Genomic DNA, 25,964 nt, shown 5'->3' with positions numbered 1-25,964 from the left:
AAAAAAAGGCTAATGATCATCTCCTTGATCCACGGGCTGCAAAATAGATGTTGTGTTAGCAGGCAAAAATCAACTTTAAGGCTGGGCATAGTGGCTCATGCCTGTAATCCCAGAAGTTTGGGAGGCCAACGTGGGTGGATCACCTGAGGTCGGGAGTTCGAGACCAGCCTGATCAACATGGAGAAACCCCATCTCTAGTAAAAATATGAAATGAGTGAGGCATGGTGGTGCATGACTGTAATCCCAGCTATTCAGGATGCTGAGGCAGGAGAATCACTTGAACCCAGGAGGCAGAGGTTGCAGTGAGCCGAGATTGCACCATTGCACTCCAGCCTGGGCAACAAGAGCAAAACTCCATCTAAAAAAAAAAAAAAAAAACCAATTTTAGTTTTCTTATCTATCTCCATCAGAGAGAGATCTTGGGTGACTAAGCACATTGTCAATGAGCAGTAATATTTTGAAAGAAATATTTTATTGTGATAAGTAGGTCTCAACAGTAGGATTAAAATATTCAGTAAACCATGCTGTAAACAGATGTACTATCATCCAGTTTTGTTGTTCCATTTTTAGAGCACAGGCAGTGTAGAGTTAGCATAACTCTTAAGGGTCCTGGAATTTTCAGAATGGTAAATGAACACTGGCTTCACCTTAAAGTCATAAGCTGCATTAGCCCCTAATGAGAGAGTCAGCCTGTTCTTTGAAGCTTTGAAGCCAGGCATTGACATCTCTCTAGCTATGAAAGTCCTAGATTACATCATCTGATAGAAGACTGTTTCATTTACACTGAAAATATGTTGTTTACTGTAGCTACCTTCATCAGTGATCTTAACTAGATATTCTGGATAACTTGCTACAGCTTCTAAATCATCTTTTACTGCTTCACCTTGCACATTTATGTTATAAAGATGACCTATTTCCTTAAACCTCATGAGCCATCTTCTGCTAGCTTCCGACTTTTCTTCTGCAGCTTCCTCACCTCTCGCTGCCTTCACAGAATTGAGGAGTGTTAAGTCATGGCTCTAGGTTATGGCTTGGCCTAAGGGAATATTGTGCCTGGTTTGATCTTCCATCCAGACCACTAAAACTTTCTTCATATCAGCAGAAAGTTTGTTTCACTTTTTTTAAAATATCATTTGTGTGTTCACTGGAGTATTACTTTTAATTTCCCTCAAGAACTTTTCTGGACAAGGCATGGTGACTCATGCCTGTAATCCCAGCACTTTGGGAGGCCAAGGCAGGCAGATCACCTGAGGTCAGGAGTTTGAGACCAGCCTGACCAACATGGTGAACACCATTTCTACTAAAAATACAAAATTAGCTGGGCATGGTGGTACATGTCTGTAACCCCAGCTACTCAGGAGGATGAGGCAGGAGAATTGCCTGACCACAGGAGGCAGAGGTTGCAGTGAGCCAAGATTGTGCCACTGCACTCCAGCCTGGGTGACAGAGCAAGACTCCATCTTAAAAAAAAAAAAAAAAAAAAAAAGCTTTTCCTTTGCATTCACAGCTTGGCTGTTTGGCACCACAGGCCTAGCTTTTGGCCTGTCTTGACTTTTAACATGCTTTCCTCACTAGGCTTAATCACTACTAGGTTTTGATTTAAATTAAGAGACATGCAACTTTTCTTTCACTTGAACATGTAGAGTCCATTGTAAGGTTATTAACTGACCTAATTTCTATACTGCTGTGTCTCAGGGAATAGGAAGAGAGATGTCTCAAGGGAAGAAAGAGAGATGAGCGAGTGGCTGGTTGGTAGAGTGATTGGAACATACACAACATTGCCGTGGCTCATGCCTGTAACCTTCCACTTTGGGAGTCTGAGGAGGGCAGATCATCTGAGGTCAGAAGTTCAAGACAAGCCTGGCCAACATGGCAAACCCCCGTCTCTACTAAAATACAAAAATTAGTGGGGCATGGTGGTGCACACCTGTAGTCCCAGCTACTCAGGAGGCTGAGGCAGGAGAATCACATGCTGAGGATTTCTCAGCAGAAACCTTGCAGGCCAGGAAAGAGTGAGATGTTATATTTAAAGTACTGAGAAAGAAAAAAAATTGTCAACCAAGAATATTATACCTAGCAAAACTATCCTTAAAAAAGAAAGAAAGATAAACTTTTTTTCAGACAAACAAAAATTGAGACAGTTTGTCACCACTAGATCTGTCTTGTAAGAAATGCTTAAGGGAGTTATTTAAATTGAAATGAAAACATGATAAACAGCAACATGAGAGCATATGAAAGCACATATCTCACTGTCTATATATTCAGTAAACCATGCTCTAAACAGATATACTGTCATCCAGGATTTATTGTTCCATTTATAGAGCACAGGCAGAGAGTGGATTTAGCATAACTCTTAAGGGCCCTAGGATTTTCAGAATGGTAAATGAGCATTGGCTTCCCTTTAAAGTCATGAGCTGCATTAGCCCCTAACAAGAGAGTCAGCCTGTTGTTTGAAGCCAGGCATTGACTTCAGGTAAATATATAGACAAATACAGAATAATGTATCAATGTAATGGCATTGCATAAATTACTTTTAACCCTAATATCAAAGTTAAAAGACAAAAAATATTTAGAATAAATATAACCGGGGCAGGTATGGCAGCTCATGCTTAAAATCCCAGCATTTTGGGAGGCTGAGGTGGGTAGATCAGTTGAGGCCAGGAGTTCAAGACAAGCCTGGCCAACTTGGTGAAACCCCATCTCTACTATAACTACAAAAATTATCTGGGTATGGTGGCACACGTCTGTAATCCCAGCTACTCAAGTGGCTGGGGCACAAGAATCACTTGAACCTGGGAGGCAAAGGTTGCAGTGAGCCACGATCATGTCACTGCACTCCAGCCTGGGTGACAGAACAAGATTCTGTATCAAAAAAAAAAAAAGGCACAACTATAACCACAAATACCTGTTAATGGATACACAATATAAAAAGAAATAAACTCTGGCTACAAGAACAAAAATATGTATGTATGTGGCAGGGGCAAAAGTGTATAGTTTTTGTATGTAATTAAAGTTAAATTGTTACAAACATAAAATATGCAGATATAGCTACAAGATATTCGATTCCAGCTTTGAGGTAAACACAAAGAAAAAAAATAATAGGTGCACAAAAGATAAAAAGAAAAGAATCCAAGTAAATCACTGCCAAAACAAAGAAAAAATCACCAAATAACAAAAGAAGATAGAAAGTAAGGAAGAGAACAAAATAACTGCAAAACAAGCAAACAGAAACAACAAGATGGCAATAGTAAGTCCTCACTTACCAATTTACTTTAAATGTAAAAGGACTGCAAGAGACTCACTTTAGATTTAAGGACACACATGGGCTGAAAGTGAAGGAATGAAAAAATATATTCCATGCAAATGGTAACCAAAAGAGAAGAGGGTTGGTTATACTTATATCAGACAAAATAGACTGATATAGACAGATAGATAGATAGATAGATGATAGATAGATAGATAAAACTGTTTCTAGAGATAGATGAGGTCATTATATGATGACAAAAGCACAGTTAACAGAAACATGTAATAATTATAAATACTGTACACACTCTACATCAGAGTACCTAAATATATATGCACATATTGACAGACCCAAAAGGAGAAATTAACAGCAATACAATAATAGTAGAACTTTAATATCCTTCTTTCAATAACAGAACATCCAGATTGAAAATCAATAAAGAAACTTGAAAAGAAAACTAACTTGAACAACACATTAGACCAAATGGACCTAACAGACATATATACAGAACTATCCAACAGCAGAATAAACATTCTTCTCAGGTATACACAACGCATTCTCCATGATAGATCACATATTAGTTACAAAACAAGACTTAGCAAATTTAAGAAGATTGAAATCATTCCAGGCATTTTTTGGACCACAATGGAATGAAACTAGAAATCAGCAACAGAAAGAAAATGGGAACATTCACAAATATGTGGAAATTAACAATACACTCATGAACAACCGTTGGGTCAAAGAGGAAATCAAAGTTAATTTTTAAAATATCTCAAGACAAATGAAAATGAAAACACAACATACCAAAACTTATGAGATGCAGCAATAGCAGAACTTACAGGGTGGTTAATAGTGATTAATATCTATGTTAATGAAGAAAATCTTGAATAACTCACCTAACTTTAAACTTTGAGGAACTAAAAAAAGAGCAACACTAAGCCTAAAGTTAGCAGAATGAAACAATAAAGATTAGAGCAGAAATGAATAGAGTAGAAAAACAATAGAAAAAATCAACACAACTAAGAGTCGGGTTTTTGAAAAGATAAAATTGACAAACCCTTAGTTAGACTAACAAAGAAAAAGAGAGGGGAGAGAGAGAGAGACTCAGATAAACCCAGAAATGAAAGAGGAGACATCACAAAGGGTGCCTCAGAAACAAAAAGGATTATAAAAGACTATTATGAACAATTATATGCCAACAAATTGGATAACCTAGAAGAAATCAATAAATTCTTAGTAATATACCACCTACAAAAACCGAACCAAGAATAAATAGGCTGAACAAACAAATAACAAATAAGGAGATTGAATCAGTAATAAAAAAATCTTCCAACAAAGAAAAGCCTAGGACCAGATGGCTTCACAGTGAATTATATCAAACATTCAAAGAAGAATGGTGTATATGTGACACATTTTCTTACATATACACCATGGAATACTATGCAGCCATAAAAAATGATGAGTTCATGTCCTTTGCAGGGACATAGATGAAGCTGGAAACCATCATTCTCAGCAAACTAACACAGGAACAGAAAACCAAACACCGCATGTTCTCACTTATAAGTGGGAGTTGAACAATGAGAACACATGGACACAGGGAGGGGAACATCACACACCAGGGCCTGTTGGGGGTGGGGGGCTAGGGGAGGGATAGCATTAGGAGAAATACCTAATGTAGATGACGGGTTGATGGGTGCAGCAAACCTCCATGGCACCTGTATACCTATGTAACAAACCTTCACATTCTGCACATGTATCTCAGAACTTAAAGTAATAAAAATATAAAATATAAAATAAAATATAAAATATAAAATATAAAATAAAAATATAAAAAAAATAAAAATATAAAGTAATAAAAAAATAAAAAATAAATAAACAAAAAAGAATGAATACTAATCCTTCTTAAAGATGTTAATAATAGGGGAAACTGGGTGTAGGGCCTATGTAGACTCTCTGGACTACCTCCACAATTTTTTTAAGCTAAAGGTATCCTAAAATAAATTGTTTATTATATAAAAGGGCATGTACCATGGGCTGAAGTTCCAAGACTTTTACCCCTGCAGCAGGCTGGGGGCTATCACAGGATGACTATTAGCTCTAAAATGTAATGTCTTCTTCTTTTTCTTTCTTTCTTTCTTTTTTTGAGACAGAGTCTCCTTCTGTCACCCAGGCTGGAAGTACAGTGGTGAGATCTTGGCTCACTGCAACCTCCGCCTCCTGGGTTCAAGAAATTCTCGTGCCTCGGTCTCCCGAGTAGCTGGGATTACAGGCGTGCACCACCACACCTCCTGGCTACATTTTGTATTTTAGTCGAGATGAGGTTTCTCCATGTTGGCCAGGCTGGTCTCAAACTCCTGGCCCTAAGTGATCCTACCTGCCTCAGCCTCCCAAAGTGCTGGGATTACAGGCATGAGCCACCGCACCCGGCCTATAATGTCTTCTTGAAGCCTGATTGGCAGGCTCCCTGGGATAAGTTGCAGACTACCTTCCCAGGTGTTTCTTTCTTCCTAATAGTTTTCTGATATCAACATTTACATCTCAATTCTCTAAGTACACTCTTGGTAGGGTTCTACCTGGCGTGCACTCAGTGTGGCTTACCAGACACCATGGGGGTGTTCCCTGCTGCAAATTTGTACATGATCTTGGTGGACTTCAAGCTGACTGTCATGTCAGCATGTTAGCCCTGTTCAAAGAACAGCTTACTCTCTGGGGGTTTTATTCCTTTTTTTTTTTTTTTTTTTTGAGACGGAATTTTGCTCTTGTTGCCCAGGCTGGAGTACAATGGCAAGATCTCGGCTCACCACAACCTCCGCCTCCCAGGTTCAAGCGATTATCCTGCCTCAGCCTCCTGAGTAGCTGGGATTACAGGCATGCACCACCACACCCAGTTAACTTTGTATTTTTAGTAGAGACGGGGTTTCTCCATGTTGGTCAGGCTGGTCTGGAACTCCCAACCTCAGGTGATCCGCCTGCCTCAGCCTCCCAAAGTGCTGGGATTACAGGCGTGAGCCCCCGCGCCCCGCCATATTCTTATTCAAAGAAAATGAGGGCGGACGCAGTGGCTCAAGCCTGTAATCTCAGCACTTTGGGAGGCCAAGGAGGGTGGATCACGAGGTCAAGAGATCGAGACCATCCTGGCTAACACGGTGAAACCCCGTCTCTACTAAAAGAAAAAATACAAAAAAATTAGCCGGGCGTGGTGGCGGGCGCCTGTAGTCCCAGCTACTCAGGAGGCTAAGGCAGGAGAATGGCATGAACCCAGGAGGCAGAGATTGTAGTGAGCCGAGATCGCGCCACTACACGCCAACCTGGGCGACAGAGTGAGACTCCGGCTCAAAAAAAAAAAAAAAGAAAAGAGAATGAGAAGCAAGATGATGAAGTGGTAGAGTCCTTGAATGACAAACACTAATGAACCAGGGCTTCTGCAGCAGGCCCTGTGCTGGGCATATTGGTACAATGCTTTCAACATGGCTTGCCTAACTCTTCTGGTGTGCAGCGTGCCTGGAGAATTGCTAGATTTAACCCAAGACCCCAGTTATCAACTTTTAGAAAAAATCTTGGAATCAGATTACAGAAAACGAAACAAAATGGTGCTCAAAATTATACCCCAAGAGGCCAGGCGCAGTGACTCACGCCTGTAATCCTTGCACTTTGGGAGGCTGAGGCGGACAGATCAACTGAAGTCAGGAGTTTAAGACCAGCCTGGCCAACATGATGAAACTCCATCTCTACTAAAAATACAAAAATTAGCCAGGCGTGGTGATGTATGCCTGTAATCCCAGCTACCCAGGAAGCTGAGGAAAGAGAATCGCTGAAACCCAGGAGGTGGAGGCTGCAGTGAGCCGAGGTCGCACCACTGCACTCCAGCCTAGGTGACAGAGCAAAACTCCGTTTCCAAAAAAAAAAAAAAAAATAGACAACAACAACAAAAAATTATACCCCAAAAGTTTCACTACACCCCTTTAGTCACCAGTTTCCAGGCTAAGTCTGAACAAGGAGCAGTTGTTTTCCTCTCTTCAACACCTTGAAAAAGCAAATGACAGCAGAGACAGAGTTGCATCATCAGTATTATTTCATCAACTGCTTCTCAAGAATTTCAGAAAGCAGGCTATAACCAGACTCATGGGATGAGTCACGTGGCATTTGCTCTTGTCATTAAGAGTCAGAATGTTTGCTAAAACAGCCATAGCCTGAGTCATCACTTTACAGAATGTCACACGAATAATGCCCAGGAATAAAGAACATTGATTCTCTTTCTTTCACTCCCTGGAAAATACAGCCTTTATAGTGGGGTTATAAGGTACGTGAGAGAGCTACTTCATTAAGTTATTTTTTATTGTAGATTAAATGTTTGAGGTTACTTTTACTTATTGCTGGCCTAAATAATGTCCCACACTGCAATCCTGTCCTTTTTCTAGCTAACTACCTGATCGTGACTTTTCCTTGTTTTGAAGAGAGAAAGTCTTCTAAATGTCCCAAATTGTGGTGTTTTGTGAGTATTTACACATCCTTTGCCAAGAATCTTCATAAGCAAAATATGTGTGGCCCTACAAAGAAAATAGAGCTTTCTATTTTTGATCAATGAGTACTGCATAATTCAGTTAAACTCAACTGAGTTTAATCCAACAAATATTTATTATCTATTCTAGGTTTAAAGTGTACTAAGCTCTAGTGGGGAAAGAGTGTTTCTGTCTTCAAGAAACACAGAACAGTAGGAAAGAAAGACATACACCCGTGAAACAAATTATTAGCTTTACATGATAAATGTCATTCTTTCATTCAACAAAAATATTAAATATTTTCCATGAATCAGAGCCTGTGCGGAGTAGGAACCAGGGATACAAAATTAAATGAAATAGCCTCTGCTTTCAAGGTGCACACAATCAAATGGAGAAACACAGACAAGTAAACAATAGTTACATTAGACTGTGATGAGCGATGATAACAGCAGAAATGGGACCAAAGAGTTGGCAGAGGGGTCTGGGAGGCTTACAGAAAACTTCAGAGAGGAAATGACTTCTGAGAGTTCCCACTAAAAGGAAACAGAGGCAAAGCATGGTGGCTCATGCCTGTAATCCCAGCACTTCGAGAAGCCATGAGGGGCAGATTACTTGAGGCCAGGAGTTCGAGACCAGCCAGGCCAACATGGCGAAACCCCATCTCTACTAAAAATACAAAAATTAGCTGGGAGTGGTGCCTCACACTTGTAATCCCAGCTACTTGGGAGGCTGAGGCACAAGAATCACTTGAACCCAGGAGGCGGAGCTTGCAGTGAGACGAGATCGCACCACTGCACTCCGGCCTGGGCGACAAAGCCAGACTGTCTCTAAAATAAAGAAAAAGAAAACTGTGTTCCAGCATTCATCTGTTGAAATAGGATCACCCCTAATCCCACTAAACCTCTTCAATTTCGACTTGACTCCTTACTTTGATTTGGAATGTTTAAAGAAAAGGTCCTGGCCGGGCGCAGTGGCTCACGCCTGTAATCCCAGCACTTTGGGAGGCTGAGGCGAGTGGATCACCTGAGGTCAGGAGTTCGAGACCAGCCTGACCAACATGGAGAAACCCATCTCTACAAAAAAAAAAAAAATACAAAAACTTAGCCAGGTGTGGTGGTGCATGTCTGTAATCCCAGCTCCTCAGGAGGCTGAGGCAGGAGAATCACTTGAACCCAGGAGGCGGAGGTTGCAGTGAGCCAAGATTGTGCCATTGCACTCTAGCCTGGGCAACAAGAGTGAAACTCTGTCTCAAAAAAAAAGAAAAGAAAAGAAAAGGTCCTAATTGGGGCTCAATTTTTACCCTTTGTTACTGAATTAAGACATATCTCCACTATATTTGTAGGCTTGATTGTTTTTAAATTAATTATGCATTGAAAAGTCTAAAAAAGCTACTATCTTTTAGTTCTTTAAGAAATCTCCACACTGTTTTCCACACTGGTTGTACTAGTTTACATTCCTACCAGCAGTGTAAAAGTGTTCCCTTTACACCATATCCATGCCAACATCTATTTTTTTTTTATTATGGTTATTCTTGCAGGAGTAAGATGGTATCACACTGTGGTTTTGATTTGCATTTCCCTGATCATTAGTGATGTTGAAGATTTTTTCATGTTTGTTGGTCATTTGTATATCTTCTTTTGAAAATTGTCTTTTCATGTCCTTAGCCCACTTTTTGATGGGATTGTTTGGCGTTTTATTGCTGATTTGTTTGAGTTCCTTGTAGAAAGGTTCTGGATATTAGTCCTTTGTTGGAAGTATAGATTGCAAAGATTTTCTCCCATTCTGTGGGCTATTTACTCTGCTCATTGTTTCTTTGGCTGTGCAGAAGCTTTTTAGTTTAAGTCCCATCTATTTATCTTTGTTTTTGTTGCATTTGCTTTTGGGTTCTTGGTGATTAAGTCTTTGCCTAAGCCAATGCCTATAAGGGTTTTTCCAATGTTATCTTCTAGAGTTTTTATGATTTCAGGTCTTAGATTTAAGTCCTTGATCCATCTTGAGATGATTTTTGTAGAAGATGAGAGATGAGAATCCAGTTTTATTCTTCTACATGTGGCTTGCCAATTATCCCTGCACCATTTGTTGAATAGGGTGTCCTTTCCTCCACTTTATGTTTTTGTTTGGTTTGTCAAAGATCAGTTGGCTGTAAGTATTTGGGCTTATTTCTGGGTTCTCTATTCTGTTCCATTGGTCTATGTGCCTATTATTAAGCCAGTACAATGCTGTTTTGGTGACTATGGCCTTATAGCATAGTTTGAAGTCAAGTAAAGTGATGCCTCCAGATTTGTTCTTTTTGCTTTGTCTTGCTTTGGCTATGCAGGCTCATTTTTAGTTCCATATGAATTTTAGGATTGTTTTTTCTAGTTCTGTGAAAAATAATGGTGATATTTTGATGGAAATTGCATTGAATTTGTAATTGTTTTGGCAGTATGGTCATTTTCATAATATTGATTATATCCATCCATGAGCGTGGGATGTATTTCCATTTGTTTGTGTTGTTTATTATTTCTTTCAGCAGTGTTTTGTAGTTTTCCTTGAAGAGTTCTTTTGACTCCTTGGTTAGGTATATTCCTAAGTATTTTATTTTATTTTTGCAGTTATTATAAAAGGGATTGAGTTCTTGATTTGATTATTATCTTGGTTGCTCTTGGTATATACCAGAGCTACTGATTTGTGTACCTTAATTTTGTACCCTGAAACTTTGCTGAATTCATTTTCAGTTCTAGGAGCTTTTTGGAGGAGTCTTTAGGGTTTTCTAGGTATACAATCATATTATCAGCAGTGACAGTTTGACTTCCTCTTTACTAAATTGGATGCCCTTTATTTCTTTCTCCTGTCTGATTGCTCTGTCTAGAACTTCCAGTACAATGTTGAATAGAAGTGGTAAGAGTGGGCATTCTTGTCTTGTTCCAGTTCTCAGGAGGAATGCTTTCAACTTTTCCCCATTCAGTATAATGTTGGCTGTACTTAATTATACATTTAGTATAATTAAGATATGTCCCTTCTGTGCCAATTTTACTGAGGGTTTTAATCATAAAGAGATGCTGGATTTTGTCAAATGCTTTTTCTGCATCTATTGAGATGATCAGGTGATTTTTATTTTTAATTCTGTTTATGTGGTGTATCACATTTATTGACTTGAGTATGTTAAACCATCCCTGCATCCCTGGTATGAAACACACTTGATAATGATGGACTATCTTTTCAATATGCTGTTGGATTCAGTTAGCTAGTATTTTGTTAAGGATTTTTGCATCTATCTTCATCAGGGATATTGGTCTGTAGTTTTCTTTTTTTGTTATGTCCTTTCCTGATTTGGGTATTAGGGTGATACTGGCTTGTATGATTTAGGGAGGATTCCCTCTTTCTCTATTTGTAGAACAGTGTCAGTAGGAATTTGATCCAGCAATCCCACTACTGGCTATCTACCCAGAAAAAAAGGAGTCATTATATGAAAAAGATACTTGCACACACATGTTTATAGCAGCACAATTCACAATTGCAAAAATATGCAACCAGCCCTAATGCCCATCAATCAACACATGGATAAAGAAATTGTATAGATACACCATGAAATACTACTCAGCCATAAAAAGGAACAAAATAATGGTATTTGCAGCAACCTGGATGGAATTGGAGACCATTATTCTAAGTGAAGTAACTCAGGAATGGGAAACCAAACATTGTATGTTCTCACTCATAAGTGGGAGCTAAGCTATGAGGACGCAAAGGCATAAGAATGATATAATGGACTCTGGGGATTTGGGGGAAAGGAATGGGGGGGGTGAGGGATACAAGACAACAAACTGGGCACCTTGTATACTTCTCAGGTGATGGGTACACCAAAATCTCAGCAATCACCACTAAAGAAGTTACTCATATAAGCAAACATCGCCTGTTCCCCAAAAACCTATGGAAATAATTCTTTTTTTTTTTTTTTTTTTTTTTTTTTTTGAGACAGAGTCTCACTCTGTTGCCCAGGCTGGAGTGCAGTGGTGTGATCTCGGCTCACTGCAACCTCCACCTCCCAGGTTCAAGTGATTCTGCTGCCTCAGCCTCCTGAATAGCTGAAATTACAGGTACACGCCACCATGCCCAGCAAATTTTTGTATTTTTAGTAGAGACAGGATTTCACCATGTTGGCCAGGCTGGTCTCGAACTCCTGACATCAGGTAATCCACCGACCTTGGCCTCCCAAAGTGCTGAGATTACAGGCGTGAGCCACCTCGCCCGGCTGGAAATAATTTTTTTAAAGGCTACTATCTGAACTCTGAAGACCACTTCCTCCAGTCCCATCTGCAATTCAGCCATCCATCCCTGTGCTGCAGCTGTCTACAATCATTCCTAATATTAAGCACCCTTGCTTAAGGGCAGACAGAGACATTTTCAGATTTTTTAAAGAATTTATCATTAGGAATAGTTATGTGGTTCCAGATCTATCCTCTTGGGAGATTCAAAAGTTGTTTGTTTGTTTGTTTGTTTGTTTTTACTTTAAATCCTGCTCATGAGTTTTAAAAAATGGCTTCTTAGGTGCAAGTTCATAGCTAAATGATTGAGAGTGCCACCTGCCGGGAACACCTGAAATTCCTGGACTTGCATATTGAATTGCAAGTTTCCTGGACCCAAAGCATTTGAATCAAACTGAGACCCTCTGGTTACAAATGAGGACTCAGTCTCTACGGCTACAGAATTTGCATTTTAAAACAGTTTTGGGGTGCCTTGAGGTTTAAGAAACAAATGTCTTAGTTCCCAAACTTGCCTGATAAGAATCACCCGGGAATTTTTGTTTGTTTGAGACAGCGTCTCATTCTGTCCCACCCCAGAGTGTAGAGACACAATCGTAGCTCACTGCAGCCTTCAATTCCTGGGCTCAAGCGATCCTCCCACCTGAGCCTCCCAAGTAGCTAGGACTAAAAGCACCCAACACCACGCCCTCCTGATTTTTGTATTTTTCTTTTGTAGAGATGGAGTCTTGCTATATTGACAAGCTGGTTTTGAACTCCTGGGCTCAAGTGATCCTCTGGCCTTGGCCTCCCAAAGTGCTGGGATTACAGACATGAGCCACTGTGCCCAGCCAGAATGCTTGTTTAAAATATTTTTACTCCGGATCACATTACAGACTTACTGAATTCGTATTTCCAAGAAAGGTGCCTGGGACTTGAGATTTGTATAAAACCATCAGATGAATATTAAAAGCTGAAATAGATTCTCTATACCAGGGTAGAAGAGCACAATTGTTGATTTTGTTTTTTTTTTAAGCAGATAATTGATAACTAGAATATGAAACATCTAGGTCTGGGAATATGGCAACACTACCACAATCAAGTTGTCCCTGGATTCTCTGTCCCATAATTCAGCTCTGTGGTCTTAAGTGCCAGCCCCTTCCCTAAAATTCTTGCCATTAAACCCCAGGCTCCCAGGCTGGGCAGGGTGGCTCAAGCCTATAATCTCAGCACTTTGGAAAACCGGGGGGGGGTGGGGGGGGCGTGGATCACCTGAGGTCAGGAGTTCGAGACCAGCCTGGCCAACATGGTGAAGCCAGGTCACTATTAAAATACAAAGATTAGCTGGGCGTGGTGGCGGGCGCTTGTAGTCGCAGCTAATCGGGAGGCTGAAGCAGGAGACTTGCTTGAACCTGGGAGGTGGAGGTTGCAGTGAGCCAAGATCACACCACTGCACTCCAACCTGAGCGACAGCAGGAGACTCCATCAAAACACACACACACACACACACACACACACACACACACACACAATCAAAAAAACTCCCAGGCTCCCAGTGGCTTCCTCTGATACCAGCTAACACATTTGTGATGCCAACTGCCTGACAGGCAGAGCTCCTGTTGGAAAGCCCTCCTACAACCTATCTTGTTTGCTTTGTGAACGGTTTTATTAGGTTGGTGCAAAAGTAATTGCGGTTTAGCCATTACTTTCAATGGCAAAAGCCACAATTACTTCTGCACTTACCCCAATTTTTTTTTTTTTTTTTTTTTTGAGCCGGATTCTCCTGCTGTTGCCCAGTCTGGAGTGCAGTGGCGCGATCTCGGCTCACTGCAAGCTCCGCCTCCCGGGTTCACGCCATTCTCCTGCTTCAGCCTCCCGAGTAGCTGGGACTACAGGCCCCCACCACCACGCCTGGCTAATTTTTTGTATTTTTAGTAGAGACGGAGTTTCACAGTGTTAGCACTTACCCCGATTTTCTCCTGTGAAGCAATGTCCTAGGTTTGGAACTACCTTTGGGATCGCATTGTGTCCAAAAGAACCAAATTCCAGCTTTGGGCAATGGTCAGATACTGAAACTGACCAGTCCTAATATCTATCTGGATTTGGTCCAAGGTCCTGCCCTATCACAACTACTTGAGCGAACACATAAGATGTGTCATTGTCTTCATAAGACACAGAAGATAGTCATTGTCTTCTCTTCTTCAAGTTAAATAAAAAGTCCCAGTTACTTTAAAATAGCCTGTGGTATTTGAAAAAAAAAAAAAAAAAACTCTCTGCACAGTTAAGCCCAGGACCAGGATAGCATGGGTTACAAGAAATACAAACAGAGCCTTAAATATTGTAGGTCATGAGTATAGTAGAGGGAGAAACAGAATGCAAAATTTCCCAAAGTTAACCACAAAATTCAATTCTTTTTTTTCTTTTCTTTTTTCTTTTTTTTTTTTTTTGTAGGCCATCTCATGAGACTAGCCATCCTGCGGAACATACCTTGGGGAAGTATTTTTTTCTTCTTCTTTATAACCATTTTGGGGCTTTGTTTTGAATTGTCTGTGTTTTTCTTTAGTCGTGAGATTCAGAACAAATACCTGTGTCAGGAATGGGCTAATCTAGGTTGCACAGGATGGAGGAGACTTTACAGTTTCCACACCATTGGTTTCTTTTTCAACAACTGAGTGTTCTGTTTGATCAACTTCAAAGCAGCTCTGCTAACCATAACACTCCTGTTTACCACGTTTCTCAGCTTTCCTTGCATTCCACAGTATTTCCTTCCTTATGTTTGACCCATTTCTCCCCCAGATGTACCAACCCGCATAGTGAGTCAAAGAACTGACAATGGCTTTTGGTCAGTGGTTTTCCAGTAGCTCTGCAAAGTTTTGGGCTTCCACTGAGTTTCTCAGAAGCTGCCTGAAAATTCATGAATTGGCTCTAGACCCTTCCACCCACAACCCCAAATCAAGCTTTCTGCTTCTTTGTATTTCATATCAAGGCCTGTGTAAGACTGGAAAAAGGGATTTCTCAACTCGGCAATTTGAAAACGACTCATTTAAGTTATCACCTGTTCTCAGGCATATTATGTTAAGTGTCCAAAGAACAACCCAGATGGTTTTCATAATACCGCGATGTAGCAAGCAATGCTTTTGAAATCATCTCTGTGCTCCCTGCTTAGTGACTCTCTAACCCTTGCAGGAGGAGCTATGGAAGCCCCACTTCATCCCAGATTCTGAGACAAGCCTGGCACCTGTCAGCAAATAGTTAAGGAGTTCCCAAACCAGTAAGTTAAGGAGTCCCAAACCAGTAAGTGCCTCAGAGATTCAGGACGTGATTACGCTGCCTGCTACTCCTGACCTGGCTCTGAAAACCTTGTGTCCAAACCCCCGCCTGGAAACCCACAGTCCCAATAACTGAGTCCCTGTCTTGACTCTCTGCACCATCCTTCAGTTCCTACAGGCTCAGCCTTTCCTTGCCCCCTCCCCCAAGGTTTTGGAAATTAGAGTCTTCTACCAGCCACTCTGGTAGGGGCCTGTTTGCTGAATGCTATTTACCACCCGTGTTCTTATCAGTTGCCAGGGCTAGGCACTGTTTGATGTCTGGTTCTGAGCCATTTCTGGTTTGATCTGCTCTCCACCCTGACCTTCCCACTCATCTAAGCAGCTTATTGTCTCTGCCAAGCCCAGACTTAGATTGTCTTTAAAAATCCAAATTTATGGCCAGGTGCAGTGGCTTACACCTGTAATCCCAGCCTTTTGGGAGGCCGAGGAGGGTGGATCACCTGAGGTCGGGAGTTTGAGACCAGCCTGACCAACATGGAGAAACCCTGTCTCTACTAAAAATACAAAATTAGCTGGGCATGGTGGCGCATGCCTGTAATCCTAGCTACTCGGGAGGCGGAGGCAGGAGAATCGCTTGAACCCGGGAGGCGGAGGTTGCAGTGAGCTGACATCATGCCATTGCACTCCAGCTTGGACAACAAGAGTGAAACTCCATCTCAAAAAAAAAAAAAAAAAAGAAAAAAAAAACAAATTTATATGTATCTATGTAAATAGAGGGGCCTCCTCTTCCCTGAGCCTTGAACAGACAGCAGACCCTGGACCTTGCATACATAGGAGCTGGTTCTATGTCCCCAGGACTTGTCTGCCTTTAGCTACCCTTAGGGACAAACCTACCTCCTCACCATGTACTCTCCCACCAATTCAACATGGACTGTGATGTCTTGACAATGGAAGGATGTCTTACTCCTTACACATGGGCTGAGTTCACATCCCATTTAAGACTTTGTATATGCCTTTTCCAAATGGTTTTCTTTGTCCAAGGCCCTAACATTTATCTCCTTTCCTAACATTGCGCTGTGGCGCTGTGACCTAACAATGGGCCACTGTGTTCTGCCATCATTTTGGAAAAACTTCTCTAACAACCATCATTCTTATTTCTCACCTCTTAGGATCATTGGCCTCATTGAGATCTTCACGAAGGCTATAGACCCGTGCTGTCCACTATGGTAGCACTAACTACTTATAGCTATTCAAGTTTAAAATTAAATTAAAGGCTGAGGCAGGAGGATCACTTGAGCTCAGGAGTTCGAGACCAGCCTGGGCAACATGGCAAAATCCTGTCACTATCAAAAATACAAGGAATTAGCTGGGCGTGGTGGCGTGCACCTGTGGTCCCAGCTACTCAGGAGGCTGAGGTGGGAGGACCACTTGAGTTAAGGAGGCAGAGGTTGCAGTAAGCCAAGATCATACCACTGCACTACAGCCTGAGTGACAGTGAGACCCCATCTCAAAAATAATTAATTAATTAAAATTTAAGACTCAGTTCTTCAGTCACAATAGCTAGATTTCAAGTTGCAGCCACAAGTGGTTAGTGGCTTCTGTATTTGATAGCACAGATATGGAACCTTTTTCTTTATCTCAGAAAGTTCTATCAGACAGTCCTGCCTAGAGGCATTGACCCTCTCTCCAGAATATGCAAATATGTACTCATATTAAAAATGTTGTAGGCAATTTTAGGTGATTCAAAGACACTCCCCACTTCCTAAGCCCACCTCCCCAAGGTGTTAGGAACCCCTTTCTGATGTGGGTGGGGGCTGGGCATAGTGGCTCATGCCTGTAATTCCCACACTTTGGGAGGCTGAGGCGGGCAGATCACTTAAGGTCAGAAGTTTGAGACCAGCCTGGCCAGTATGGTGAACCCGTCTCTACTAAAAACACAAAAATTAGCCAGAAGTGGTGGCACATGCCTGTAGTCCCCACTACTTGGTAGGCTGAGGCAGGAGAATCTCTTGAACCTGGGAGGTGGAGGTTTCAGTGAGCCGAGATAGCACCACTGCACTTCAGCCTGAATGACAGAGTGGGACTCTGTCTCAAAAATAATAATAATATGGATGGGGAGCACATGACTCTCCTAAAGTCTATGGAGGAGGCAGGTATCAGGAAAATCTCAGTTCAGATGTCAGTAATCCTTTTCCCTTAACACACAGTCTTAAGCACCTGCTGGTTCCTTGAGAGTTTAAAAAGAAACCTAGCTGTTCATTACATTGCCCCATTCATCCTGTTAGTTTCATTCATTCACTTATTCAATATTTATTGAGCTCCTACTTTACGCTCATACTGACCTAGGCAATGGGATACAAAAGTGAACTCAATGGAGAAGATCCCTTCCCTCATGGAGCTTATATTCTTGTAGGACAGAAAGACAACCAACAAACAAGCAGGTAATGCTCTCTGCTCTATAAACTTAGTTTTCTCCAATTAATTTCAAATCTATTTCTGTAAGCCTGAACATGTTAATTCTCTGCTTAAAGACATTCCCTCCTGACTAGGAGAGTTGATTAAAACCACCTGTGGGAGTTAAAGATCTACATCTGCCAAATGCACTGAAGGTGATCCACAAACTAAATTAAAATTTGGCCACTCTCCAAAGTCAAGGCCATAATCTACCTTTCTCATGAGACAGTTCTGTCTGTAAATAGTTGGGATTATAACACCCTCACTTTCAAGGTAAATTCCAGGGTATTTTATCTCCTAATTTCCAGATTGTTTTTGATTGTGTAAGCACATAGAAGACCTCACACCAGGTAAAGTTTCTAAAGTTTACTTCAAGCTACCTCTGTTACATGATTTTTGCGTGGGTAATCCGAGATCTGCTTCTTAATTGTCAACTCCACTTGGAATTGTTCCAATGTTTGCCAGTGTTCTGTTATGTTCTTTTCTCCTTGTCCAGCTTAATGACAGCTGTTTTTCTTCAAAAACAATGTTTCTTCAAAAATAATGTTTGGGTAAGGCCCGAGTTGGGATGACATTTTCTCTTAATATAATTTGCATTCTTAAAATCAAACACATTACCAGCAGATTGGCTTAACTGAACACATGCACGTATATATAAGAAACCATGTCCTTTCTTTCCTTGACCCAAAGTTTTGTATTTCACCACACTGGCCAACTCCCAAAAGTTGAACTGAAATCAAAGAATTGGTTCATTCTAAGATGGCTGGATATATATATATATATATATATATATATATATATATATATATATTCATCTCTATCTATCTTCCTCCTATTCTTTTTCCCATATCACACAAAACACAAACACAGACACATTCTGGGTTTACTTGGTACTGCCAGTCCTCAGGCTGACTAGAAGACTGAGGAAAATTTGAAAGACAAGAGATCTATCTACAGTCTTTCCTAACTTCCTAGTCCCTTTACCAGATTTTTCCATGAGGATTTGTCTTCCTTTTTTCCTTGAGGAAGCCAACTCTTGAGGGCTACAAAACACTTATTTCAGCATGTGTCTCTAAAAGATAAGAACATTTGATAAATATAACCACACTACCATTACCACATCAAAAAAAAAAAAACAGTTATTCTTTAAGAGCAAACATCGAGGCAGTGTTCCTAATGGTTTCATAATGTCAAATGTTTACTGGCTTTTTAAAACAAATTCAAAATACACATAAGTTCCACACCTTGTAATTGGTTATTATGTCTTTCAAGTCTCTTTAAATGTGTAGGTCTTCTCTCCATCTCTTTCTTTCCTTGAAACTTATTTATTAAAGAAACTCAGTTGTTTGTTCAGAAGCATTTCCCATGGCTGAATTTTGCATAATATATCTTCATGTTGCAGGTCAACATTCACAGGATTCTCAGATTCAGTTGGAGGCATGTTTGATTATCTACACTTTAAGTCATCAAGTAATTTGAATATATTAATATAAATCCCATAGGCTCTTTTTCCCACTCCAGATGATTCCTCCAATAACCTTTCATTCAGTAAGTTCCCCGTTGTAAATTTCCAGTTAAGTAATTCTCTTTAGGTTTGATGGGTGCGCACAACGAAGAAAAGGGGGGACAGGGAAACCTTTCTGAAATTCATTTCCTTTGAATATATCCATTAGAGGGCGACATTGCCTTTAATATTATATTTCCCCAATAAAGTTTTAAATTGCATAAAATTTACTTTTGTATTTTTGACAAGTTGGACCTCATTGCCTACTTTAATTTCTAATCTCACGTCTGTAAAGTGTGACTGCATTCTCCTTTGTTAGTTTGATCTCTGCTGACTTGCGTCTTTGGTATTACAGTACTTCCATCTTTGACTCTGTTCCCAATTCTAACCATCGGGCGGCGATGTTGCATAAATAAAGACCCGCGGAAAGGCAAAATTAAGCGAAACTGCCAAATAAAAAGCAGTTTCACCGGGGGTAAAGGCCATTAATTTAAGAAGGAAAGAGACAAACCAGACATTTCTAGTTCATATCCAACTCACGGCCCAAGGTCAGAACTGTGTAAAATGCAACACAAAGGAGCCATTCAGGAGTGGGGGAGGCTGACTTGGGGAGAGCGAATGCACAATCCCCGCCTTGAGCCTGCGGTTCCACTGGAGGGGGCACAGGTCCGTTTGCGCACGTGCGTGTGAGTAGCCACAGGGCAGCGGCGGGACATGCCTGCACCGGGCATGGGACTGCTGAACCAACAGCGCTCTGGCGGACCGTTTGGGACACCCGCCCGGAGGCAGGTTGGCACTGGCGCTGCCTGGAGGTCAGCCACTCATTGTACCCCGGAGGAACTGGGTCCCGCGGGGGCATACGGCTCGCCCACCGGCACGCGTTAGGAGGCGAACACCTGCATCCAGCTAGGTGTTCCGAGCTCAGCCCAGGGCGAGGGACTGCTCTGCCACCTTCTTCTCATTCTTCCTGTAAGAACACTGTCTATCTCGGACAAAAAGGACCCACCTGACAGCAAGTGGTATCGTCACACAGAGGTAACAGGGAAGTCACGGATCCTCTTGAGAATCTGACAAAAGTTGGTGCCCCTTCCCCATAGTGGCACTCAGAAAACTGCAGGTGAAACCACAAATGGGCGGAGGCACTCACAGGCTTCCTGGGGCCCGTCCATTGATCAGATACCAGGTTAAGAAATTCTGTCCTTATTGGAGCCTAGACGGCAGCGCAAAGGAACCAGACGGACTTGGAAAGAGAGGCAGGGACTCCCTCCTCCCTCCAAACACAGCCAGCGTTTCATCTCGGATTGCGGGAGGGGCCTGGCGGAAGGTGGAGGAGAGGTGGAGCGCCTGGATGGGGCCCTCCCCATTCTCCTGGCCCCAACCCCAGGACGCCTGGCTGCGGAGGGCTCGAAAGCGAGCAGCGAACGCCCAAAGCCTGGGTGGCGGGAAGGTGGCAGCGCCCTGTAGCTTTTCCTTTGCATTTTTCTTTAAATCGTGAGCTCCGGAGCTATCGTTTCGACCGCTGCTTTCCGGTCTCCACCTCCACCTCCCAGTTGGCTGGCTCGCCCTTCCCCCACCCCCCCATCCCCCCCATCCCCCCCCATCCCCACCCCCATCCCAGCCGCGTGCCCGACCCTCGGCCTCCAGCCCCGCCTCCTTCGCCGCGGGGTTTAACCCGAGGCAGAGTGAAATCTGCATAGTGACCGCCCCCTCGGAGATCATTGGTGCAGCCCCGCCCATCGCGGCCGGTGATTGGTAAGCCGCCCGGGGTTATTTGCATGTCGGACGCAGCCGGGTACCCAGCTGTGCTGCCGGCCGGCGCAGCGCAGAAGTTTGCAGAGCGCTTTCTCGCCGGCTGGTCCCGGACTCGCGCTGCGCCCTGCGCCCTGCGCCGCCGCCTCCTCCTTCTGCCGCCGCCGCCCTGTTCTCCCGGGATTCCTTCTCTGTGGAGGACTGACTCTCTGCTTGTGGGAATTAGAGGTGGACAAGGGGGAGTGCCGGGGGGTAGCGACGGGGTTCTTTCCAGTGGCAGCTGCGAGTCGGGACGCCGGGAGCGTGGGGCTCCTGCTGGCCACGGATCTCGGCCACCTTCCCGCGGCCTCCGGGCAGGCAATGCGGCCGCCGAGCCCCGCGACGCAGAGAGGAAGGAGGGTGGCCCGGAGGGCCTAGAGCTTGTTTCTGCCCACTTGGGAAAGAGGGCATGGAGTTGTGAGTGCCCCTCGCTCGGCGACGCCGCCCTCGGCAGGCTCCCCATGGCCGGGACGTACAGCTCGACTCTGAAGACGCTGGAGGACTTGACCTTGGACTCCGGGTATGGGGCCGGGGACTCGTGCCGCTCGCTCAGCCTCTCGTCCTCCAAGTCCAACTCGCAGGCGCTCAACTCTTCGGCGCAGCAGCACCGCGGGGCGGCCTGGTGGTGCTACTCCGGCTCCATGAACAGCCGCCACAACAGCTGGGACACGGTGAACACGGTGCTGCCCGAGGACCCCGAAGTGGCCGACCTCTTCTCGCGCTGTCCGCGGCTCCCCGAGCTGGAGGAGTTCCCCTGGACCGAAGGAGACGTGGCCCGGGTGCTCCGCAAAGGCGCTGGCGGCCGGCGGCTGCCCCAGTTCTCCGCCGAGGCGGTGAGGCGCCTGGCCGGGCTGCTCCGCAGGGCACTGATCCGCGTGGCCCGCGAGGCGCAGCGCCTGAGCGTGCTGCACGCCAAGTGCACCCGCTTTGAGGTGCAGAGCGCCGTGCGCCTGGTGCACAGCTGGGCGCTGGCCGAGAGCTGCGCGCTGGCAGCCGTCAAGGCGCTGTCCCTGTACAGCATGAGCGCCGGCGACGGGCTGCGCCGGGGCAAGTCCGCGCGCTGCGGCCTCACCTTCTCAGTGGGTCGCTTTTTCCGCTGGATGGTGGACACCCGAATCTCCGTGCGCATCCACGAGTACGCAGCCATCTCCCTCACCGCCTGCATGGAGAACCTGGTGGAGGAGATCCGGGCCAGGGTGATGGCCAGCCACAGCCCTGATGGCGGAGGGGCCGGAGGCGGGGAGGTGTCTGCTGAGGCCCTGGAGATGGTCATCAACAACGACGCCGAGCTCTGGGGCGTCTTGCAGCCCTATGAGCATCTCATCTGCGGCAAGAACGCCAATGGTAAGCGCGCGGGCCTCGGACTGGCAGACTGGGTAGGCAAGAAATCCCGCCCTGGGCTACTGGGGGAGTGAATTTCCTGAGACAAAGCTGGTGGCTGTGCCAGTTCTTTGGGAGAAAACGTTTGGTCTGAGGATAGGGTTCATTACATGGCACTTGCCAGAGATTGTTCTAAGGGTGTCTGACTTTTGGAGGGTAAACTTGTGAATGATCTCCATCCTGTTCTGCGTGGCATTGTTACTATCTGCGGGCTGTTCATTGATTGGGTGAGATTGAATCTCTTGACCAAGCCATTCCTGAACCTCTCTTGAAATGAAACTTACTGCCCCGTGGCTCTTTACCGTGATTGACTAGGTCTCTAGCTGCTGTCTTTCCCCAACAGCTGGTTAGATTGACTGATTCTGCCCCCTAGTTTTCCCCAGCTCAATAGCAGCAACCAAAGGGTCCCAACTTAAAGACCTGAACCTTGGATAAGTAAGATGGGCGGAGGGAAGTGGGAAGCCCAAGATCTGGTGCTGCGCCTTGTGCTTTGCTGGGCTGAAGGATGCTGTCAGGCGCTCTCTTGGGGGATGGAGGGGTAGTGGTTCGCTCTTACCTATATGTGCCCAGGAATGATGAAACCTGGGGACCCCGACTCCCCTTCCCAGAAAAGTAACCACAGATTGTCTCCTGAGACCTGATTTTTCCAAGCTGTCACCAACCAAGTGAGCCATTGGTTAAAACCTTGCATTGTATTAAATGTTCTTTCCTGAAAAGAGTGGTGGCCCATCAAGGGGAAGAGATAGGTAACCGCATGGGGTCAAGTCTGGGAAAGGAACCATTGGGTGGTTGCACTTCCCTGAAGATAGCATGGATTTGGTGCAAAGGATGGAAACAAAGCACATGACCTTTTCCCTGACAATGTTAGGGGGTGTGACATTGCATTCAACTGCAAACTACCTACAAGACTTCAGTTTGAGAAGTCAGCACCATAAACTGTTCAGAATGGTATTATGGTTAAACAGCCTTACGATCTGATTGGAAGGCCATTTGGGGGGCAGCTTTCAGTGGCAAATAAGCAGGCAGTGGAAGAGGTCAGGTGGGGACTGGAAAGGGATAAAAGAAGTCAAAACATGGTTTAACATAATCATAATAGCTGAAATGCAAAATAACCCTTAATGTGTCGTCATTATTCTCAGCACTTTGTATTTAACTCAAGTACTCCTAGCAAGCCTATTAGGTAGGTACTTACTGCATAGTATGATGCCCATTTTACAGATAAGGAAACCAAGGTACCCAGCAGTTAAATAATCTGCCCAACATTACATAGATGTTAAATGGCAAAACTGGAATTTGAATCCAGTTTGAATCCAGGTAGGCCCCTTTAAGGTTCTAGATGCTGGTGGAGAAGAAACAGCTTTGTTTTTCTGGTTTGTTGTTGTTGTTTGTTTGTTTGTTTTTCTTACTGGACTATAGCTCTCAGATCTTATGCTTTGTTTTTTGATTAGCCCAGTTTTCGAGAACAGTTGACATGTTAGGCCCATTTTGAAGACACTCTGTACCAAGCATGGCTTACTTTGACATTATTGGTTTTGTTTTTAAATTCTGGCACTGCCAAAGGAGATGCTGGGAATTGAAGAGCATCTGCTGCTTAATTTTCTTCCTCTTAGGTCAGAGCTAAGGTCAGTCCTGAATCTCAGTTGATGATGTCACAGCTGCTTGTTGTGCCTCACCCTCCAGGTTTGTGGCATCAACACTGGGAACAGCAGCTCCAGGGCAGGAAGTGGAGGGCCAGGGGATTTCCATCTCCAGTGGTCATAATTGAGGGAAAGAGTTCTGTACTTTTGGCTGAGAGGAGGCCCAAACTGAACTCAAAGAAGTAAAGGCAGGCTCCTAGGAGAAAAGACTGAAGACCTAACCCTATAAGCCAAACAAGAATAAGGGTGGAACTGTAAATGCAAAACAAAACAAAAACATATATTCATGCAGAACAGGTGCCCAGCACATTGAGAAGCTTCTCCCAGCTTTTCTAACTGCAAATTGAAATAAGGAAGACCAACTCCCTGCCCAGGACACCCTGAAGATGCGAAGTGGCCAGAAGCTGCTAGAAAACAGATGTCTTCTGCTAAAGGGCTTCCAACCAAAGAACTATTTCTTATCTAGGGTCAGCATTCCTTGGGATTTCCTTTATAAGTTGGTCTTTTGGCACCACCTACCCCCCCACCCCCACCCCCCAGCTCCACCACCACCTTTTGTTTTTTTAAATAGAGACAGGGTTTTGCTATGTTGCCCAGGCTGGTTTCAAACTCCTGGGCTCCAGCAGTCCTCCTGCCTCGGCCTCTCAAAATGTTGGGATTACAGGCGACAGGCGTGAGCCACCACACTCAGCCACGACCCCATGTTTTAACCTCCTCCTTGCCCCCCCTTTCCAAACAATCCTCCTTAATCCTGGGTAGTCAAGAGAGCAGGATTCTCTGTGGCAGACAACAAAGCTCCCCGGATGCTCAGAGTCAAAGTGTCTCCCTCTGTACCTTCTCGGGTCTCCAGGGAACTCTCTTGCAGGCGAGGTGACCATTCACTTCCACTTAGCAACTGGATGCTCATTTTTTATACATGAAAACCAGGGGGTGGCCACATTAAACAATAACCAGGCTGATTTATTAAGTCCCTTTAGACAAAGTGAAATGAATGTTTAGTAGAGGGGCAATGAATTACTTATGTCTGAAAGCTGGCTTCAGAGGGAAGCATACACTGCTTAGGAACAAAATGGAGTGGTCCAAACCTTTGTTATATTAAAATTACCCCAAGGCCAGCAAGGTAACGGTTTACACAGCTGAAGACCAACTGGGGAATGACTGCGTATGGGAAGGAGAGTGCTGGTTAGAATTCTTGTCCTGCTGGTCTTCCCTTTAAATTATAAATTTATTGTTGATATGCCTGCTAATTATACAGCATGGGCACATGCATTTGACTCAGCTATATAGGGCTTTTAAACTTAATGTCTTCCAACCAAGAATTTAAGGGCCGTAATCCATCTATTCCTGTCCATTACTCAGAATGCAGGACAAATATGGTTTTGCTCAGCACAAGATGGATAATAAAAGTTCTGCAGTGTTTACAAAACATGATCCCAGCTCCGTAGAGCAGCAGGAGTTATATATTGTTGCTCATTTGGTATTGATGTCCCCAATCCCATGGCAAGGCCATTAAATGATGATATCTTCATGACTTCCTTACGGGAGGTAGAGAAACCAATTTAATAGAGCAGTATTTATAAACAGGTAGTTTGCACAAAATAGAAACTTTTCGCATCCACTCATATCCCTCCCTACTCTCCTCTCTCCTCTCTCTCCCTCCTCTCCCCCATCACTTCCCATAGGTGAGTTTGATGCTGAGCATCACTACTAGGTTTCTTCTTGGTCATTCTTCTTACTAAGCTTTTGTGAGTGTCTGTGGCATTTTAGAAAATCTTCCTCAATTTCTAGATTCTTGATTAAGTGATAGGATATTGGTGAGAATATTCTTGCTCCAAAGAAGTATCCAGGGTGTACAAAAGGATTGCTCTATCCTAGTGGTAACATGCACAAGACTTTGGATTCACCATGAGAGTTTGAAGCCTACCTTTGCCATTTATTTTGTTTTATTTTGTTATTTGTTTATTTTGAG

The 25,964-nt window shown here is 43.7% G+C and overlaps 1 protein-coding gene across 1 annotated transcript in view, besides 3 other annotated features; it reads left to right on the top strand.

Annotated features, from left to right (window-relative positions):
- Positions 7,186-7,561: a transcriptional cis regulatory region, noted in NCBI's record as "candidate enhancer chr11.1764 targeted for multiplex CRISPR interference". NCBI's record gives its function as "positively regulates LMO2 gene expression in K562 cells {active_cell/tissue: K562}" and the evidence as "EXISTENCE:mutant phenotype evidence [ECO:0000015][PMID:30612741]".
- Positions 20,828-21,027: a silencer, noted in NCBI's record as "silent region_3251". NCBI's record gives its function as "represses an Ori minimal core promoter by ATAC-STARR-seq in GM12878 lymphoblastoid cells {active_cell/tissue: GM12878}" and the evidence as "EXISTENCE:reporter gene assay evidence [ECO:0000049][PMID:35858748]".
- Positions 21,013-25,964, top strand: part of ABTB2 (ankyrin repeat and BTB domain containing 2) — a 207,024-nt gene continuing 202,072 nt past the window's right edge. The window contains exon 1 of the mRNA NM_145804.3: positions 21,013-22,322. Coding sequence (NP_665803.2) covers positions 21,440-22,322 — 883 coding nt within the window. The 5' untranslated portion in view covers positions 21,013-21,439. The remainder of the gene's footprint in view (positions 22,323-25,964) is intronic.
- Positions 21,978-22,087: an enhancer, noted in NCBI's record as "active region_4602". NCBI's record gives its function as "activates an Ori minimal core promoter by ATAC-STARR-seq in GM12878 lymphoblastoid cells {active_cell/tissue: GM12878}" and the evidence as "EXISTENCE:reporter gene assay evidence [ECO:0000049][PMID:35858748]".

This window comes from Homo sapiens, chromosome 11, assembly GCF_000001405.40.
Source record: "Homo sapiens chromosome 11, GRCh38.p14 Primary Assembly".
Lineage (NCBI taxonomy): Eukaryota > Metazoa > Chordata > Mammalia > Primates > Hominidae > Homo > Homo sapiens.
This window is presented reverse-complemented; position numbering and strand designations above follow the sequence as displayed.